Source organism: Homo sapiens, chromosome 6, assembly GCF_000001405.40.
Source record: "Homo sapiens chromosome 6, GRCh38.p14 Primary Assembly".
Lineage (NCBI taxonomy): Eukaryota > Metazoa > Chordata > Mammalia > Primates > Hominidae > Homo > Homo sapiens.
In genome coordinates, this window is record NC_000006.12 from 30831543 (window position 1) to 30852433 (window position 20891).

General features: G+C 45.9%; 1 long non-coding RNA gene across 1 annotated transcript, besides 3 other annotated features; it reads right to left on the minus strand.

Moving 5' to 3' along the window:
• Positions 1 to 7986: 7986 nt before the first annotated feature.
• Positions 7987 to 16617, minus strand: LINC02570 (long intergenic non-protein coding RNA 2570). The gene is made up of 3 exons (NR_134610.1): positions 16426 to 16617; positions 15495 to 15607; positions 7987 to 8477 (listed from the first exon to the last, which is right to left on the minus strand). It is a non-coding gene; the product is annotated as a long intergenic non-protein coding RNA 2570 (long non-coding RNA).
• Positions 9295 to 9471: a silencer, noted in NCBI's record as "fragment chr6:30808614-30808790 (GRCh37/hg19 assembly coordinates)". NCBI's record gives its function as "represses an EF-1alpha promoter that drives an FKBP-Casp9 reporter gene in an ReSE screen in K562 erythroleukemia cells {active_cell/tissue: K562}" and the evidence as "EXISTENCE:reporter gene assay evidence [ECO:0000049][PMID:32094911]".
• Positions 12750 to 13044: a silencer, noted in NCBI's record as "tiled region #587; HepG2 Repressive non-DNase unmatched - State 21:Repr, and K562 Repressive non-DNase unmatched - State 7:EnhWF". NCBI's record gives its function as "represses a minimal TATA promoter and a strong SV40 promoter by Sharpr-MPRA in HepG2 and K562 cells {active_cell/tissue: HepG2 | K562}" and the evidence as "EXISTENCE:reporter gene assay evidence [ECO:0000049][PMID:27701403]".
• Positions 15645 to 16147: an enhancer, noted in NCBI's record as "NANOG-H3K27ac-H3K4me1 hESC enhancer chr6:30814964-30815466 (GRCh37/hg19 assembly coordinates)". NCBI's record gives its function as "activates a minimal SCP1, AML or CMV promoter by ChIP-STARR-seq in naive H9 embryonic stem cells {active_cell/tissue: H9 hESC(naive)}" and the evidence as "EXISTENCE:reporter gene assay evidence [ECO:0000049][PMID:30033119]".
• Positions 16618 to 20891: the final 4274 nt, after the last annotated feature.

Sequence of the window (20891 nt, forward strand, 5' to 3'; positions counted from 1 at the left end):
TGGCAGAAATGGCAGACAGGTTTGTGGGGTCAGACAGAAAGCTCTGTCTTGCTTCGTCTTTGAGCCAAAGGGGACCTGGTGCCCCTGAGTTGGGGGCACTGTGTGGTGCCCAGTCACACTCTCCGTGGTGTCCTCAGTGAGTGGCACTCATTGAGGGACAGGAGGAGCAGAGCTGCTCCCAATAGAGAAGCACTGGAGCCCACACTGCCTAAAGTGGGAATGACCCAAATAGCCTTCAGCAGGAGAAAGGGGAGGAAAATTGTGGCATATGCATGCAGTGGAATATTTCTCAGCACTGAAAATGAATGTTCCTATAACTGCATGTGATAACAGGCAAATCTGCAGACATAAAGTCGAGTGAAAGAAGCCAGCTGTGAAAGAGCACATTGTATGATTCCATTTATATAAAGCTCAGGTCCAGGCAAAATGGTAGTAGTGAGGAGAGAGGTTGTCCTTTGGGGAGGGTAGTAACTAAAAGGCACAGGAGGGGGCCCCTGGCATCCTGGGAATGTCCTTTCCTTAATCTAGGCACTGGTTGCATGCATATGCTGTTTGCGAAAGTTCTTTGAGCTGTACATTTAAAATTAATGCACTTCTCTGTATGTATGTTTTATTTATATAAAAACATTTTTTTAAAAGATAGAAGTAGCTGGATGCAGTGGCTCACGCCTGTAATCCCAGCACTTTGGGAGGCCAAGGCGGATGGATCACCTGAGGTCGGGAGTTCGAGACCAGCCTGACCAACATGGTGAAACCCCATCTCTACTAAAAATACAAAAATTAGCCGGGTGTGGTGGCACATGCCTGTAATCCCACCTTCCTGGAGGCTGGGAGGTGGAGGTGAGCTGAGATCGCACTACTGCATTCCAGCATTCCAGCCTGGGCTACAAATGAGACTCTGTCTTTCAAAAAAAAAAAAAAAAAAAAAAGGACTTTCTGCTCTTTCCTGCTTGACATCTTCCTTGACTCCATCTTCTTTTTGATCACCTTTTTATGGCTTCCTGAACTGATCTCATGGATTTTTTATCTGCATCAAAAATGGAAATGGATTAGATGTTGCGATTTTTAGGGTATAAAATTCAATGATTAATTTTATGTGTCAATTTGATTGTGTTGCACTACAGGGTGCCCAGATTAAATAACATTTCTTGGTGTGTCTCTGAGGGTGTTTCTAGGTGAGATTAGCATTGTGGACTCAGTAGATTGTCTTCGCCAGTGTGGTGGGCATCATCTAATCTGCTGAGAGCCTGAACAGAACGAAAAGAGGAAAGAGAAATTCACTACTGTTTCTTCCCGCCTGCGCGCTGGAACTGGAATATCAGTCTTCTTCTCTCCTTGGACTGAGATTTGTACTATTAGCTCCCCTGGTTCCTCTGGTCCACAAGATTGTGGACATAGACTGGAATTATATTACTGGCTTTCCTGGGTCTCAGTTCGCTGATGGCAGACTGTGGGACTTTAGAGCCTCCATAATAATGTGAGCCAATTCCTCATTCTATCTATCAATCTATATATCGATTGATTGATCGATCGATAGATCGATCTATCTAATCTATCTATCTACTTATCTATCTATCATATCATCTACTGATTTCTCTCTCTCTCTTCTTTTTTTTTTTTTTGAGACAAGATCTCACTCTGTTGCCTAGGCTGGAGTGCAGTGGCACAATCCTAGCTCATTGCAGCCTTGACTTCCCAGGCTCAAGCAATCCTCCAGCCTCATCCTCCTGAGTAGCTAGGACTACAGGTGCCCACCACCATGCCCAACTAATTTTTAAACTTTTTTTACAGATGAGGTCTCACTATGTTGCCCAGGCTGGTCTCTAACTCCTGGGCTCAAGCGATCCTCTCACCTCGGCCTCCCAAAGTGCTAGGATTACAGGCATGAGCCACCGTGCCTGGCCCTGATTTCTCCTATTGGGTCTGCTTCCCTGGAGTACCCTAATACAGATGGGTTTGTGTTATTGAGAGCCCTATTTGCTGCCTCCTTCACAAGATGCTAGCTGAACTCTTGAGCATGGGCATCAGCATTGGTAAATCTGGCAGTAAGGCCTGTGGGCTGCTCACATCAGCCAGGCAGACATTTGATTAAGTTTGAGATCTTGATGTCTTCACCAGAGCCACTAAGTTTTATATATGCCATTGTTGAAGCCAACCCCAACTCACCTGGCAATCAGCTGGAGGAAGGGGACTACTTCTATTCATTGCAGATTTAAAAGTTGGCTACATATCCTTTGCTACTTCTCCCATTGGGAGGTGGGGACCCCTTAAATCTGGGTGGCTGTGTGGCTGCTCGAGCGACACAAATTGTTGGAAGTGATGCTAAACCAGCTTCCAGCACAGGATTCAATAGCACCTTCCACCTCCTGTCTCCTGGAGCATTCTCTGGGAGCCTGAATCACCATGTAAAAAGTTCAAAATCAGGCTGGGCACGGTGGCTCACACCTGTAATCCCAGCACTTTGGGAGGCTGAGGCGGGCGGATCATGAGGTCAGGAGTTCAAGACCAGCCTGGCCAACATGGTGAAATGCCGTCTCTACTAAAAATACAAAAATTAGCTGGATGTGGTGGTGCGCACCTGTAATCCCAGCTACTCAGGGGGCTGAGGCAGGAGAATTGCTTGAACCCCGGAGGTGGAGGTTGCAGTGAGCTGAGATTGCACCACTGCACTCCAGCTCTGGGTGACAGAACAAGACTCTGTCTCAGGAAAAAAAAAAAAAAAAAAAAAAGTTTCAAATTCAGGCTGGGCACAGTGGTGCTCCGTAATCCTAGAACTTTGGGAGGCTGAGGCAGGGGGATTACTTGAGGTCAGAAGTTCAGACCAGCCTGGTCAACATAGTGAGAGTCCATATCTACAAAAAAGAAAAGATTAGCCGGGAATGGTGGCTCACGCCTGTAGTCCCAGCTACTCAAGAGGCTGAGGCAGGAGGATTGCTTGAGACCTTTAAGGTTGTAGTCAGCTATGACCATGCCATTGCACACCAGCCTAGGCAACAGAGCGAGACCCTGTACCCCTCTTCCCCCCAAAAGAAGAAGTTCAAATTCCCTGCCACTGCCTGCTGGAGTGGCCGAGTATGGTACTCTGGCCAACCACTAGCAGAGCCCAGCTGTCCCCACAAAGGTGACAAAAATGTGAAGGAAGCTGTCTTGAACACTCCAGACCAGCCAGCTGCCGAAGATGGCATTGAGTGACTCCAGTTAACATCAAGCAGAGTAGAATTGCTGAACTGACAGACACAATTTTTTATGTAAGGAAGTGGCTGTTGTTGTAAGCCACTAGGTTTGGGATGGCGGTTGCTCAGTGATAGATAACTGAAACAGCTGTATCTGCACCTGGACCAGAGCTTTCATGCCCAGGGTGAGTAGCTTCTTGGTTCTGTAAGGCTCTGTCTCCTTCAACTCACTTTGCCGGGTTGCGGCTACAGCATTACCCAGCTCTTCATTCCATTACAGTTCATCAAAGCTCCCATGCCAGGCTTGTGGCAGGGTAATTTACTGTGGAATTGTTTTGTTTTGTTCTTGTTGCTCTGTGTATACTCCCCTCACCAAGAGAGTTACTGGGCTTTTTGTTCCCAATTCTGAGGCTCTTTCTTGAGTATGGAGAAGGTGGGTAGTGATGGCATTTGGATTATGCGCAAACACCTAGGCTAAGAGAGGCAGAAGTGGACTGTGGGTGTGTCTTGAGCAGAGGTTGAGATTCTCTAGGGTCTGGAAATTTGGTGCTTTCTCCCCACGAGTGAGGAGACCCCCACTTCTGCCCAGAGCATTCCCAGGCTGAAGGATTGCTGGAGAATGCCCAGAGAAGCCATGATTTCTCCCAGCTAGGGGCACAGAGGCCAGGGTCCCCAGGGAGATTCTACTATGGGTGATGTGGACATTGCTGATGTGAGGGGAAGTGCTGGGCCTGACCCAGAGGACATCACTCCAGGACTTGACTGTAGCCTCTGAAAGTAGAGGCAGCTAGAGAAACAATAGTGGCTTCTATGGGCTAAATGTCTCTGTCCCCCCATAATTAATATGTTGAAAACCCAACCCCCAGTGTGATGATATTTGGAGGTGGGGCCTTTTGGAGGTACTTAGGTTTAGCTGAGGTCATAAGGGTGGAGCCCCCATGTGTGATTAGTGCCCTTATAAGACGAGTTAGAGACCAGAGCTCTCTCTCGGCCATCGGTAGTGAGAAGGCTGCAGTCTGAGAATCAGGAAGAGAGCCCTCAGCAGACATCAAATCTGCTGGTACCTGGATCTTGGACTTCCTAGTCTCCAGAACTGTGAGAAATACATATTCATTCAGCTGGGTGTAGTGGCTCACACCTGTAATCCTAGTACAGGTTTGGGAGACCAAGGTGGGCAGATTACTTGAGCCCAGGAGTTTGAGACCAGCCTGGGCAACATGGGGAAAACCCCATCTCTACAAAAATACAAAAACTTAGGCTGGCATGGTGGCTCATGCCTGTAATCCCAGCACTTTGGGAGGCCAAGAAGGGCAGATCACCTGAGGTCAGGAGTTCAAAACCAGCCTGGCCAACATGGTGAAACCCCATCTCTACTAAAAATACAAAGAATTAGCTGGGCATGGTGGCGGGCACCTGTAGTCCCAGCTATTCAGGAGGCTGAGGCAGGACAATTGCTTGAACCTGGGAGGCGGAGGTTGCAGTGAGCCGAGATTGTGCCACTGCACTCCAGCCTGGGTGACAGAGCGAGACTGTGTCTAAAAAAAAAAAAAAAAAGAAAAATTAGCCAGATGTGGTGGTATGCACCTATAGTCCCAGCTGCGCGGGAGGCTGAGGTAGGAGGATCACCTGAGCCTGGAAGGTTGAGGATGTAGTGAGGTGACATTGCAACACTGCCCTCCAGCCTGAGTGATACAGTGAGACCCTGTCTCAAAAACAAACAAAAACATATTTGTCATTTAAGTCACCTAGTCTCTGGTATTCTGTCACAGCAGCTAGAGCGAACTAAGTTGGCTATCCTGAGTACTAAGGACCTGGCCTTGCTCCCAGCTTTTCTGGTACTGCCTAAGCCCCTGGTATTTTGTAATGTGTTGGAGGGAGGAGACAGCCCCACTAATGACTAGGGTTGAATTTCCTCCCAGTCTTCTGGGTAGGACACAGAGCAGATTACATTTGATTGAGTAAAAGTAAGGAATGTGACATTTCATGCACATTTTATAGCCCCAAATGACAAAAATAACATGCTTCTCAAGCCACCTGGAACATTTTATAGCTTTCTGTTTTTTTTGCATTGTAGGCTCCTGTGTCCATCAATTTATCAGCATTTTTCTTGGCAAGGATTCCCTGAAATGTCTCCAAGTTTGGAAATTTTGTCTTTATGAAAAGTGGGGCATGGGACCAGAGGAGGGACTTGGTCAGAAAAACAAAATACGATTATTTTTGATCCATGTCCTTATTTCTTGGTTACTAAATAGCTGCCCTCTGTATTTCTTTGATTTTAATAAATCGTCCAGATATGGATTTTTAAAATTCTATGTATGTTTTTTGAGACAGGGTTTTGCTCTGTCACCCACGCTGAAGTGCAGTGGCTCACTGAAGCCTTCAACTCTTGGGCTCAAGCAATCCTCCCACCTCAGCCTCATGAGTAGCTGGGACTACAGCCATGTGGCACCATGCCTGGCTAATTTTTAAAATTTTTTTAGTAGAGACAAAGTCTTGCTATGTTGCCAGGCTGGTCTTGAACTCCTGAACTCGTCATCCTCCCACCTTGGCCTCCTAAAGTGCTGGGATTACAAGTGTGATCCACCACACCCAGGCCTAGTTTTTAAAATGATATTTCATTTATGTAGTTCAAATAAAAATGACATCAATAAGTACATGAGAAATATCACTCCTACCCCACACTTACCCTCTCTTTTTCCCCTCACATTGCTCGTCAGTAACCATTTTTACCAGAATAGTGCCTTATTTATTCTCCCAACGTTTCTTTATGCAAACATAAATAACATACTTTTATTTCCTCTTTTATTACACAAAAAAAGCATGTTATATACATCTTGCTCCTTCCTTTTAAAATCGTAACTAAATATACTGGGTATCCTTCCCTATCACCACGTAAAGCTGTTCCTCCTGCCTTTTTCATTTTGACAGCTCTATAGTATTCCATTGGTGGATCGACCAGAGCTGTGTGTTCGCCAGTCTCCTATTGCTGGGTTGTTGGGCTGTTTCTGATCCGTTGTTATTATAAATAATGCCACAATGAATAACCTTATACCTAAGCAAGTTTACCTTTGTGTAGGTGAATCTATAAGATAGATTCCCAGAAGGGGGATCTCTGGGTCAAAGGGTTTGTGCATGTATAGTTCTGGTAGATATTGCAGGTCTGCTCCACAGAACTGTGCCATCTGCACTGCTGCCAGCAATGCATGGGACAGTCTGTTTCCTCTCAGCCTCCTTCACACACTGTGATATCATATTCTGGACTCTTGCCAACCAAGGAAAGATTTATGTATAAGTTCAACATGGATGCACTTAGGCTAATTCTCCTTCCTGCATTTCCTTCAGAACATCCTCAGTCTCCTCACTCATTTCAGATACCTTAATTAGCTTCCATTTTTCATGACACAGGTTAGCCATGTTTATATTTCCTTCGTGATCATCACAGTTATGAAAGATTTCTTCTTGGGTTGATAGGTTAAGTAACCATGGTCCAGTATTGGTTATTGCAATCAAACCAACAGCTACAGGTGGCTTGGATTGTTTTAGATGGAATTGGTCTCAAATTTAAAAGGTCACTTTGTCATTCTTTGTATCATTGTTATTCATGTCTGTATCTTTTACAAATATATTTATTTAATATTTAATAAGACAAATAAAATGTTAAAAATTATTTTGTCCTGGGAAAGCCCAAGCCTTCCTGCACAGAAGTTGAAATATTCAAAGGACAAGAAAAGGCCTCTGGTACGGTCCTGTCTTGGACAGTTTCCCCGGCCACCCAGCAGGCTGCCTATTGTGCTGTTTGAGATGCAAATGATCTCTTCTTATGCTGGGGAACCTTCTAGGCATGGCAGGGGCAGTGGAGAGGCTACTTCCTCTCTCTCTTTTTTTTTTTTTTTTTTTTTGAGACGGAATTCTCACTCTGTTACTAGGCTGGAGAGCGGTGGCATGATCTTGACACACTGCAACCTCTGCCTCCAGGGTTCAAGTGATTCTCCTGCCTCCGCCTCCCGAGTAGCTCGGACTACAGGCGCATGGCATCACGCCCAGCTAATTTTTGTATTTTCAGTAGAGACGGGGTTTCACCATGTTGGCCAGGATGGTCTCAATCTCTTGATCTCGTGATCTGCCTGCCTGAGCATCCCAAAGTGCTGGGATTACAGGCGTGAGCCACCGCACTCGGCCACTTCCTCTCTTTTTTTGCCCACTTCTCTAGCTAGTCCCAAGACTTGTTCAACTCTTTCTTATGGATGGTTTTGCAGAATACATACATGGAAACCGTCCACAAATTCTAGCCCACCAATTAATGCTGTCAGACTGGGAACTTCATGAAAAGCCTGCTTGAAACAAAAAATTGAAAATAAGTGGCTTAAACAAGGTAGATATTTATTTCTCTGCTTTATCCACGAGGTCTGAGATGAAACGTCCAGGGCAGGTGTGGAGGCTCCCTGGCATGATGGACCCAGGCTCCTGTCTTCTGTTCCTGTCATCTTAGTGTGCTTCCTTCTACCCTTAGGGTGGCCTCATGGTCTGAGATGGCTTCAGGACTCTCCACTTCAGGCCTTTTGGAGTCCATGATTTCTTTTCTTTTTTTTTTTTTTGAGATGGAGTTTCTGTCTTGTTGCCCAAGCTGGAGCACAGTGATATGATCTTGGCTCACTGCAACCTCTGCCTCCCAGGTTCAAGCGATTCTCCTGCCTCAGCCGCCCGAGTAGCTGGGATTACAGGCACCTGCCACTGTGCCTGGCTAATTTCTGTATTTTTAGTAGAGACAGGGTTTTACCATGTTGGCCAGGCTGGTCTCGAACTCCTAACCTCAGGTGATCCACCCGCCTTGGCCTCCCAAAGTGCTGGGATTACAGGAGCGAGCCACCGCGCCCATCCATGATGTTCTCATGGCCAACATCCTGAGGTCTCCCAAAGGCAAGGGCTTCTTTGCTTGCCCACTGGTTTGGGTACAGATATATTTGTGGACTCTGGAGTCCAGGTGTCAGGGTATAGCTTCCTGAGGTGCCCCAGGCAGCTGGTCTCCTCTGAGGCCTTGATGATAGCCCTTGACATGCCTGGGGCTGTGGAGCTGGGGATGGTCTCCACCCCACAGGGATCCACCTACCTCAGCCGGTATCCAGTCCAGGGCCTCTGTCTTCTTGGCTGCCCTCAAGGCACTGGGCTCCTTTAGACACTCCCCACCACACCCTTAATCCTCTCAGGGAACTCCAGTCTCCAGCAAACAAAGGCCTGAAAAGTGTCTACAAGGAAATTCTGAGTTCAGGTTTCTGAGGTGAAGGAGCACAAAGTCCTTTCTCCTGGCTTGGAAGTGCAGGGTGGTGCGAAGAGTGGGAGGGAGGCAGGGTTAGGTGAGGAAAAAACAGAAAACACAAATTAATTTGACAATGATATGTTAACTTAAAAATCACAACTTTAGGCTGGGCAGACAGTGGCTCTTGCCTGTGATCCCTGCACTTTGGTAGGTGGAGGTGGGAGGACTGCTTGAGGGTAAGAGTTCGAGACCAGCCTGGGCAACATAGTGAGGCCCTTTCTTTACCAATAAATAAATAAATAAATAAAAATTAGCTAGGTGTGCTGGCACACGCCTGTAGTCCTACCTACTCAGGAGGCTGAAGTGGATCCCAGTAGTTTGAGGCTGCAGGGAGCTATTTACTCCAGCCAGGGCAACAGAGTGAGACCCTGTCTCTTAAAAAAAAAAAAAAAGAAAAGAAAAATCATAAATTTGGAAAGGAGAGCTTTATTTCTTTTAAAGAGTTACTGCTGACTGGGCATTGTGGCTCACATCTGCAGTCCCAGCACTTTGGGAGGCTGAGGTGGGTGGATCGTTTGAACCCAGGAGTTCGAGACCAGCCTGGCAATACTGATGCAGAACTTTGCTCCTCAGTTCAGCTAAAACCGGGTTCTTGTCACATGACCAGGAAAAGTTAAGCAGGCAGACACTTTGAAGGGTGAGGGGAATGGAATTTTTTGGGTGAAAAAGGAAAAGAAGAAAAGAAAAACCTCTCAGCAAAGAGCAAGGGGGGTTCCTGCCAACAGGTCCCCACTCCACAGATTGATTCCAGGCCACACACAGTAGCTGAAGAGGCCAGGCTCCTCCCCGACCACTGCACACTCGGCACGAACTTCCCGTGGCTCCACCCCATTTTCCCAGTATGCAGGCAGGTGATTCTCCAGGGACCCTCCCCTTTATCTGTCTCCTGCATCTATCATTATCTATTTTATTTTATACATTTAAAACACTATTCTGCCGGGTGTGGTGACCTGCACCTGTAGTCCCAGCTACTCAGGAAGCTGAGGCAGCAGGATCTCTTGAACTCAGGAGGTGGAGGCTGCAGTGAGCTATGATCATGACAATGCACTCCATCCTGGGCAACACAGCAAAACCTTGTCTCAAAACAAACAAACAAAAAACAAAACCCCACCATTATTCTCAGAAGTACAGCAGCTTTCACAAATTGCCAAAGGGGTCTGTTTTAGGTTAGTTTCCTTCAGAAGCAGATCTGGAGACAAAGATTTGAAGCAAGGAGGTTATTAGAGAGGAAATCCCTGGCATAATTGATAAAGTAGACAGGAAAGGGCAGAAGCCAGCATGGGGTGCATCGATGAGCAATGAACTTAATGAACTCCTTGGCTCAATCCCACTGGGACCTTCAAGAGACTACTGTATAGAGCATGCCTCGGAGTCATCCTACCCTTGAGGAAGCTGGGGTATTTCTTCACCAAATCCCATTTCACTTGAGGGCTGCCCCCAGGGCACTGACATTTCTAGCCTGCCCTACCCATGGGTAGTGCTCCTGTGACTAGGGTAAGTCCTCAACAGTGTCAGAGGCTTAAAGACGGAGCCATCTGAATGGCAACCTTAGAGGACAAGTGGGTAGGGCACAAAGTTTGGCTACAAGGCCTGCAGCACTAAAAGGTTAGGAACGCCTCAGAGCTGCCCCTTTTAGGATGGACCCACTCAGCTCCCCGGTTCCCACTCCCTGACATCTGCTTTCTGTCCGCTGCTCAGTGTCTCCAGTGGATTCACAAAACAACTGCCTTTCTCCCTTTCCACCTCAGTTCATTATCAAGAACAACCCTGGGGTTTCCCACCTTAATCAGGCTGCTCCGGCCTCTGCCCACAGCCCTTCTGACACCTGGTTTATGTGTGACCCTGCCACCCTTAACCCCCAGCAGCAGGGGATGTCAGCTTTCTTTCAGGGAAGAACACAGACTCCTTTTGAGAGACTATAGTGAGATAATTTTGTAAACTGAAAATAAAATCCTAAGCCCCCCAGTTGACTTAATGGACCCCCTCTTGGCCAAGGGGACCCCAGAGAAACCTTAAAAACTGAGTTCCCAGGCAGGAGAGGATGGGAGGTCAGACACACCTCGTCATACCTCATCCCTTTTGTGGTTTAGACAACCACTGACCAGCATTAATAAACCAGAGATCATAAGACTGACAGAACAAAGTATTTGAGCCAATGAAAGACCAAACTATAAACAAGACTTAAGGCCATGGCAGGTCAGGGTTAAGTCACACACCCCTGCACTTAAAGAAAAAGTGTTCTGCCACAAGGTTTTAATTTTTCTCTAGCAGCCAAACAAACATTGGCCTTGAGATAAGCAAGATTAAAACAACTTGCAGATCGTCCATCAGCCAAAACTACAGCTTGGGTTGAACACGAGACTGATTTCAGTAACCTTCTCCTGATAAGAAGACTACTGACCATGGACTGGTTCTGGCTGGTTTACAGATGCTGCATACTTGAGTTTGCTTGTGTCCTGAAAAGACCTTTTGATGTATAAGACCTAATTGTAATACATTTATTTTTTTTTAATTAATTTTTTTTTTTTTTGAGACGGAGTCTCACTATCGCTTAGGCTGGAGTGCAGTGGTGCGATCTCGGCTCACTGCAAGCTCTGCCTCCCAGGTTCATGCCATTCTCTTGCCTCAGCCTCCCGAGTAGCTGGGACTACAGGCACCCGCTACCATGCCCGGCTAATTTTTTTTGTATTTTTAGTAGAGACGGGGTTTCACCCTGTTAGCCAGGATGGCCTCGATCTCCTGACCTCATGATCCATCTGCCTCAGCCTCCCAAAGTGCTGGGATTACAGGTGTAAGCCACCGCGCCTGGCCAGCTGTAATACATTTAAATGCTAAGTCTCCACCCTAAGGTGCACATGGGTCATATGCAATATACTAGTTTATTCAGTATATGTGCTTCAGGACCACTTTCATGAATATTCATAGCTCCTTCTGTAACCTGTTGAATATGTATACTTGGCCAACCCAGTCAGATTAAATTCCTTTCTTATTCCTCCTCGTCCCTCAAAGTTCATTCTCTAGGCTCTGCCAGAGGCTATGCTTCCCACTAGTCCGAATGGTACATTGTAGGCTGCAACTCTTTATTTTTATTTTATTTTTAAATTTATTTTTGAGACACGGTCTCACTCTGTCACCCAGGCTGGAGTGCAGTGGTGCAATCACAGCTCACTGCAGCCTCGACCTCCCAGGCTCAGGTGATTCTCCAACCTCAGCCTTTCAAGTAGCTGGGACCACATCCGTGCACCACCAGGCCCAGTTAACTTTCACAATTTTCTTGGAGACAGGGTTTCACCATATTGATAGATGCAGGAGGTAGATAAGGGAAAGGGTCCCCAGAGAATCTCTGACCTGCCTATGCACTTGGGAGAAGGGGGTGGAGCCACGGGAAGTTCGTGCCATGTGCAGTTGGGGAGGAGCCTGGCCTCTTCAGTTCTTGTGTGTAGCCTGGAATCAGTCTGGGGGTGGGGGTGCTGTTGGCAGGAACTCTTCTTGCTTTGCTGAGAGATTTTTTTTTCTTCTTTTCCTTTTTCACCCAATAAATTCTGTTCCCCTCACCCTTCAATGCGTCTGCGTTCCTAGCTTTTCCTGCTTGTGTGACAAGAACCTGGTTTTAGGGTTTAAGGAACAAAGTTCTGCATCAATAAGATTCAAAAGAAATCATTCTATTGAAATATGATTCTAGGCACAGGCTAGTTGGGGGTCTCTGAGCCCCAGATCCCACAGCTGTGCTGAGATGCCTGCCCACAAGCTCAAGGAGCATGTCTAGGAGTCCACGGAGGCAAGCAGAGGCAGGAAGAGGAGACCAGAATTCAGCTGCCGGTGGTGAGCCTCAGGAAACTCTTTATCAAAGCCTAGAAAAGCCAAAGGTGGGCCCGAGAGGGAAGAAAGAGACAAAGAGATGGGAAGAAGATGGAAGTAGGACACTTAGAGTGGGAAGGAAAAAGAGCAAGAGAAAGTGAGAGGGAGCAGCAGAGCCCTGGGAAGGGAGCTTGAAGGGGTGGGGCACGTTTGGAAGCCTCTGTGATTATTTGGGGAAGGCTGATTTTCTAGTGCCTTGGGCTGGGCCCATGCAGGTTACTTCCTACCCAGCTACCTTCCTGGCTCTTCTGCCCAGGGAGCTCCTTCTGCCAGTCCCCAGCCTACTGCACTTCTTCCTTATATGCTTGGAGTGTGTGGAATGCTGCTCACCACTCTGGGGCAGTTGGAGACTGAGATAACTCCCTCCCTGGAATGTAGGGAATTTGGTGTGCTGGAAAGAGAGAAAGAGAGAGGGAGACAGAATGTACCTTGCAGCAGCACAGCTGGGTTCTGGATGGGCTCCATCTCTGAAAGAGAGGGGCAAAAGGGTTGGGGAAGGGGTAGCTGCCGGTCTTAGTGAAGGGTCCCCGAGGCACTAGCGTGTCCTCACATTTGTGCTGCCTGCTTCCCAGAAGACTCAGCACATGGGGAAAGTGGTGCCAAGGGCACACCCACCAGCCACACTGTGGAGCTTGGACACCTGGGGCAGGATATTCAGTAGTCGGCCTGGGGACCTCCAAAGATGCTTTCCCATTCCTTAGCCTGTCAGCCTTGGTAGGGACATCACTTTCCTCCTTATCCTTCAATGAGGACATTCAAGACAACATCCCTGAGCTGGAGGAAACCCAGCCTCACCTCCTCCTTCCACCCCTCATCTCCTAAGCTCCCCATCAGTGGTGTCTGGGGTGTGGAACGTGGGGAGGCAAGGAAGACAGCTCACCTGGCCCAGGCTTCAATGCTCAGCCCCTCTTATTCCTTCTAGCAAGAGCTTCTTGCAAATACCTCAATTTTTTTTTTTATCTTCTGCAGCTGATGCTCAAACTGTCAACTTGTTACTTGAGACCATGAATGTTGGTTATAAGAATTTGTTGACTTTTTAAAAAAATAAAAATGATGTTTGCCCACTTAAAGTTTTAAATTCTGTTTTTCAGAGGAGTTTTTTTTTTTTTTTTTTTGAGACAGTCACCCTCTGTTGATATGGCTCTGATGAGTGGAGGAACACCAGGGCTCTTGTCTCACATCGAATTAGATAAGATGACACGAACACACGTGGAGTGGTTTTAAGGAGCGGAGAGTTTAATAGGCAAGAAAGAAGGGAGAAGAAAGAAAGAAGAAACTCCCTTGTACAGAGACAGAGGGAGGGGGGCTCCAAAGCCGAGAGATGGAACCCCGCACTTAGGTAATACCAGCCAGCTATATTCGATGGGTGGAGGAGGCAGTATCTGATCTGCATAGGACTCAGGGGATTGGTTTGACCAGGCATGTCATTCATGTAGCCGGCGAAAAAGCTGGCCCTCCCACCCTAGCCTTTTAATATGCAAATGTAGGGCTGTGTCATGTTCCACACACGTGGGGATATGTGGGGGCGGCCATGCTGCCAGGCACATGTAGGGGCAAGGGCAAGAGGACAAAGGTGGGAATAGCCTTGTTGGGTGGACCCAGTTTCTAACAGCTAGCGTTTGCATATCAAAGGTTGCTGGCCCAAGTCTAAGAGCCAGGGCTTTCATGCTAGACAAGAGCTGTGAAAAATTTTCCATGGACCTTTTTCCTCTCTATCTGCCTAAAATAATTTCTTAATAACTCCTACCTCACTGTAGCCTAGGTTGGAGTGCAGTGTGGCAACATCTCGGCTCACTGCAACCTCCGCCTCTCGGGTTCAAGCAATTCTCTTGCCATAGCCACCCACATAGCTGGGACTACAGGCACCCACCACCAAGCCCGGCTAGTTTTTTGTATTTTAGTAGAGAGGGGTCTCACCATGTTGGCCAGGCTGGTCTTGAGCTCCTGAGCTCAAGCAATCCACCTGCCTTGGCCTCCCAAAGTGCTGGAATTACAAGCATGAACCACTGTACCTGGCCTTTCATAGGAGATTAATGGCTGATTTTACCCACCAACCTGGTGATCATGAACCAGCCATCTATAACCTTGTTGATCTAGCTCAACCCATTATATAAAACTGTGCTTGGATTGTATGGAATGCTACACACTTACAATTAAAGATATTTAGAGCTGGGCATGGTGGGTCACACATGTAATCATAGCACTTTGGAAGGCCAAGGAGGGAGGATTGTTTGAACCTGGGATTTCCAGAGCAGCCTAGGCAACATAGTGAGAACCCATTTCTTTTTTTGTCTTTTCTTTTCTTTTCTTTTTTTTTTGAGATGGAGTTTTGCTCTTGTTGCCCAGGCTGGAGTGCAATTGCGCGGTCTCAGCTCACTGCAACCTCTGCCTCCTGGGTTCAAGTGATTCTCCTGCCTCAGCCTCTTGAGTAGCTGGGATTACAGGCACGTGCCACCATGCCCGGCTAAGTTTTTGTATTTTTAGTGGAGATGGGGTTTTACCATGTTGGCCAGGCTGGTCTCGAACTCCTGACCTCAGGTGATTCACCCCCCTCAGCCTCCTAAAGTGCTGGGATTACAGGCATGAGCCACCATGCCAGGTGGGGGTAGGTGGGGAAGCCCATTTCTATTAAAAAAAAAAAAAAAAAAGGCCAGGTGTGGTGGCTCATGCCTGTAATCCCAGCACTTTGGGAGGTCAAGGCAGGAGGATCACCTGAGATCAGGAGTTCGAGACAAGCCTGCCCAACATGGTGAAACCCCGTCTCCACTAAAAATACAAAAAATTAGCCGGGCATGGTAGCACGTGCCTGTAATCCCAGATACTCGGGAGGCTGAGGCAGGAGAATCACTTGAACCCAGGAGGCGGAGGTTGCAGTGAGTTGAGATCCTGCCACTGCACTCTAGCCTGGGTGACAGAGGGAGACTCCATCTCCAAAGGAAAAAAAAAAAGAGAAAGTAAAATTTGTACTTCAATTCAGAGATTATAAACAATGTATACTTGACTTTGTGGCAGTGATCACTATTGTACAATAGTTACTTAAACTCAGGAGGCAGAGGCTGCAGTGAGCCAAGATAGCTCCACTGCACTCCAGCCTGGGTGACAGAGCGAGACTCTGTCTCAAAAAAAAAAAAAAAAAAAAAGTTACTCACTCATTTGTTCTGCAGAATCTATTTATTGCTGTGTTCACAGAAAAGGAAGCATCAAGACGGCAAAGCTCTTTGATGAAAAGCCAGGCGTACTCACACACACAACTGAGAAAGTTCTGGAAGTAGGAGAAAACGTCTTTAAGGCATATAGGCTAAACTTATATAAATATTGTTAGTGTTTGCCAAAACAGGGATAATCTAGTAAAATCAGAGATACAAAGCCAGAACAGAGAATTGGTAAGTAAAAAATTGTTAAGAATGTATATTGGCTGGGCGCGATGGCTCATGCCTGTAATACTAGCACTTTGGGGAGGCTGAGGGGGGCAGATTGCTTGAGCTCAGGAGTTTGAGACCAGCCTGGGCAACCCTTTCACTACTGAAAATACAAAAAAAAAAAAAAAAAAAACCAAAAACAAAACTGGGCGTGCTGGTGCGCACGTGTGGTCCCAATTACCCTGGAGGCTAATGTGGAAGGATCGCTTGAGCCCAGAGTGTGGGGGTGGGGGTTGGGAGGCAAGGTTGCAGTGAGCCTGGATTGCACCACTGCACTTCAGCCTGGGTAACAGAGCGAGACCTTGTCTCAAAAAAAAAAAAAGTATCAAAAGGCCTAGGAATTTGTTCTCCAGGTAAATCTGCCCTCCCTCATCTCTAACCTTTATGAAATCACCCAAATGGAGACATCACAGCAAGGCCCCGACAAGGAAATGAGGAATGTAGGTGGATAAGGGACTGGAATAGTGCAGCACAACACTAACTACAGGTTTCAGCCCCAATGAGATTGCCCTCACTTCCGCCGCCAGCCACAAGTGTGGAGGTCCCCAGGCTACTCGCTCCTCTGACCAACTGGCTACTAATCTGGGGGGTACCCACAACCCCCTCGGGTTTGATAATTTGCTAGAACAACTCACCAAACTCAGGAGAATGTTATACTTACGATTACAGGCTTGTTACAAAGGATACAAATCAGGAGGACCAGACTAATGAAGACACACGTAGGGCGGGGTCTGGGCGGGTCTTCCATGCAGAGCTTCTGTGTCTTCTCTCTGTGAATCAGGTTGTGTCACCCTCCTGGCACATGGATGTGTTCACCAACCAGGAAGCTCCACCAAATTTTGGCGTCCAGAGTTTTCATTACATAGGCACAATTGGTTGACTCATTTGCCACCGAATTGAACGCAATCTCTAGTCCTCCCACCCTCCGTCGAGGTTGGGCTGGCTCTAAGGCCCAATCCTTTTATTATGTGATCTTTCTGATGACCAACCTCCCATCGTGAGTTCTCTCTTAGCATAAGCCCAGGTGTGATCCAAGGGGCTCATGAATAACAAAGATACTCATATTACTCAGGAGATTCCAAGGATTTAGTTTCCCTCCTAGGAACCAGGGACAAAGGGCAGTCAAATTCTTTATTGTTATCACAGAGACACAGTAATATAATATGATACAGCAGAAGAGAGGTGAGGAATGTTGCCATGCCTTGAGAAGCCTATCACAAGAGCTTTAAGGAATTCACACTTAAATATTAATAGGTACATTATGAAAGAAATCAGCCAAGTACAGTCTTTTCTTATTATGGAATCTAGTTATTGCAGGAATTGAAAAATTGATGTAATAAAGCCTAGAATGCAATAAAGGAATCGGCATTCAAGTAGATGAGAGAGGTTGGGGAATATGTCAAGATGCAAAAGTGAGAGAGCTGTCACAGTTTACTTACTCTGCAATCTCTGAGGATGGAACAGGATCAAAGATGAAGCCAGGAAGCACAGAGTAGTTTTCTTCCTCCCTAATCTCATCCCTTGTTTTCATTTGGCACTTTAAAAAATTTCCACATTTATATTCATATGGAATTGATTTTGAGTATAGAGAGATAATTCTAATTATTATTGTTTTTCAAATGTTAGCCAGTTGAACCATTTATCATAATCAAGGTGATAATATGGCTTATTTTCTTTGGCCTACAGAGATGATAAATTTGAATATATTTTAAAATATAAAACTATCTTTAAAATTTGAATATATTTGAATATGATACATTTGAATATATTTTAAAACATAGAGCTATCTTTGTACTCCTGGTTAGTCATGGTGCATTTTTTTTTAATACTTCATATTAAATTTTTACCTTCTGGATTGAGACACTAGAGTTCTTAAAGGTTCTTTCAGAAATTCTTCCTATATTCAGTATGCTACCAGAAAACCTCTTACAACTAACCTTACAGAAGATACTGTTTTCTTTGTACTTTGTCCAATATCAAAGGAAACCTCCAAGTTCCAAGGAGGTCAGGCTACTAATACCCACAAATGAATTCTGATGAGATCATTACACAATAAACAATAACTGTTGCTTATTACATGCTTACTTTGTACTAGGCAGGACTAAGATAAGTATTATTTAAGTTTTAAGATCATTCTTAATTTCTTGTCAAAAGTATACTGGTTTGCAAAGTAATGAATAAAATAAATCTTTAACAATATCCCTATAGTAAAGACAATGGTGAACTTCTTATGCCTCTTTTAAAAAACTCTGCTTATGATGACAATTTCAAACATACACAGAAGCCGTGAGTATATAATGAGTCTTGCTGTATCCATCACAAAGTTTTAAAAACTGTCAAAAGTTGACCATACTCACTTAATCTACTCCTACCACTTTTTCAGCTGGAGATCTTTTAAAGCAAATTCTACACATTGTGCCATATCATCCATAAATTATTTTGCATTACATCCCATTCTTATTGAGTCCCTGCAAGCTGAGAGCCGACTGCCAAAGCACAATTCACTGTAAGAGATTCTGTGAAGGGTTAAAACAAACAGTCCAAATTCACAGTGCTGCAAATGTCTGTAATTGCATAATCTGCAAAATATATTCTTCAAGAAATCCTCTGTGCACTTGGTTTCCCTTAACTGAGTTTTTTTTTCTTCTTCAGACCAGATTAATTGATGAGAACTGACAAGCAGGGGAGAGAGGTGATGTTTAAGGTTATATATTTTGGCAAAAAATTATGAGTGTAAATTGTGCTTGTTTCTGATTAAGAGAGGTCCATTAATCAGAAAGTAAACTTGGCATCCTCGTAGAAAAATCACATAGCTTAACAAGAATTCATGACTCTGAATTGCTGCACAGACAGGTAGCATGAGTTCTTGGCAGGATTCTTTCAGCTGAGCTGTTTTCCATTAGAATGGTGTCTGATATGGTTTAGCTGGGTCTCCACCCAAATCTCATCTTGAATTGTAGTTCCCTTAATCCCCACGTGTCATGAGAGGGACCTGGTGGGAGGTAACTGAATCATGAGGGGCAGGTTTTTCCCATGCTATTCTTCTTGTGATAGTGAATAAGTCTCATGAGATCTCATGGTTTTATAAAGGTAGTTCTGCACACGCTCTTGCCTGCTGCCATGTAAGACATGCCTTTGCTCCTCCTTCATCTTCCACCATGATTTTGAGGGCCTCCTCAGCCATGTGGAACTGTGAATGCATTAAACCTCTTTTTCTTTATAAATTACCCAGTGTCAGGTATTTATTCATAGCAGTATGAAAACGGACTAATACGGCTGGGTGCAGTGGCTCATGCCTGTAATCCTAGCACTTTGAGAGGCCGAGGCAGGTGAATCATTTGAGGCCAGGAGTTCAAGATCAGCCTGGTGGTCAATATGGTGAAACCCCATCTCTACTAAACAAACAAACAAAAAAAATTAGCCATGCATGGCGGTTGGCGCCTATAATCCCAGCTACTTAGAAGGCTGAGGAAGGAGAATTGCTTGAACCTGGGAGGTGGAGGGTGCAGTGAACCGAGATTGTGCCACCGTACTCCAGCCTGGGTGACAGAGCAAGACTGTCTCAAAAATAAAAATAAAAAAAGAAAATGGATTAATACAGTAAATTGGTACCAGTAAAGTGGGGTACTGCTATAAAGATACCTGAAAATGTGGAAATGGGTAACAGGCAGAGGTTAGAAGTTTAGAGGGCTCAGAAGAAGACACAAAAATGTGGGAAAGTTTGGAACTTCCTCAAGACTTGGAGGGCTCAGAAGACAGGAAAATGTGGGAAACTTTGGAACTTCCTAGAGACTTGTTGAATGGCTTTGACCAAAATGCTGACAGTGATATGGACAATATTTGTCCAGGCTAAGGTGGTCTCAGATGGAGATAAGGAACTTGTTGGGACCTGGAGTAAAGGTCACTCTTCCTATGCAAAGAGACTGGCGGTATTTTGCCCCTGCCCTAGAGATCTGTGGAACTTTGAACTGAAAGAAATGACTTAGGGTATCTGGCAGAAGAAATTTCTAAGTGGTAAAGCTGTTCAAGTGGAAGTAGAGCATAAAAGTTTGGAAAATTTGCAGTCTGATGATGCGATAGAAAAGAAAAACCCATTTTCTAGGGAGAAATTCAAGTTTGCTGCAGAAATTTGCATAAGTAAAGAGGAGTGGAATGTTAATCACTAAGACAATGGGGAAAATGTCTCCAGGGAATATTAGAGAACTTCATAGCAGCCCCTCCCATCACAGGCCTGGAGGCCTAGGAGGGAAAAAGGGTTTGTGGGCTGGGCTAAGGGACCCCTGCTCTATGCAGCCTGGGGACATGGTGCCCTACATCCCAGCTACTTTAGCTCCAGCTGTGGCTAAAAAGGGCCAACCTACAGCTCAGGCCATTGCTTCAGAGGTTCCAAGCCCCAAGCCTTGATAGCTTACAAATGTGCTGGGCCTGTGGGTGCACAGAAGTCAAGAATTGAGGTTTGAGAACCTCTGCCTAGGTTTCAGAGCATGTATGTAAATGCCTAGATGTCTAGGCAGAAGTTTGCTGCAGGGGTGGAGCCCTTATGGAGAACCTCTGCTAGGGCAGTGCAGAAGGGAAATGTGGGGTCAGAGCCCCTACACAGAGTTCCCCACCGGGGCATTGCCTGGTGGAGCTGTGAGAAGAGGGCCACCATCCTCCAAACCCCAGAATGGTAGATCCACCAACAGCTTACACCATGCACCTGGAAAAGCTGGAGACACTCAACACTAGCCCATGAAAGCAGCTGGAAGGGGGGCTGTACCCTGCAAAGCCACAGAGGCAGAACTACCCAATGCTGTGGGAGCCCATCTCTCACATCAGCATGACCTGGATGTGAGACATGGAGTCAAAGGGGGAGCATTTTGGAACGTTAAGGTTTAATGACTGCCCTACTGTATTTCAGACTTGTATGGGGCTTGTGGCACCTTTATTTTGGCCAATGTATCCCATTGGAATGGGTGTATTTACCCAATGCCTGTACCCCCATTGTATCTAGGAAGTAACTAACTTGCTTTTGATTTACAGGCTCATAGGAAGAGGGACTTGCCTTGTCTCAGATGATACTTTGGAGTTGGACTTTTGAGTTAATGCTGAAATGAGTTAAGACTTTGGTGGACTGTTGAAAGGCAT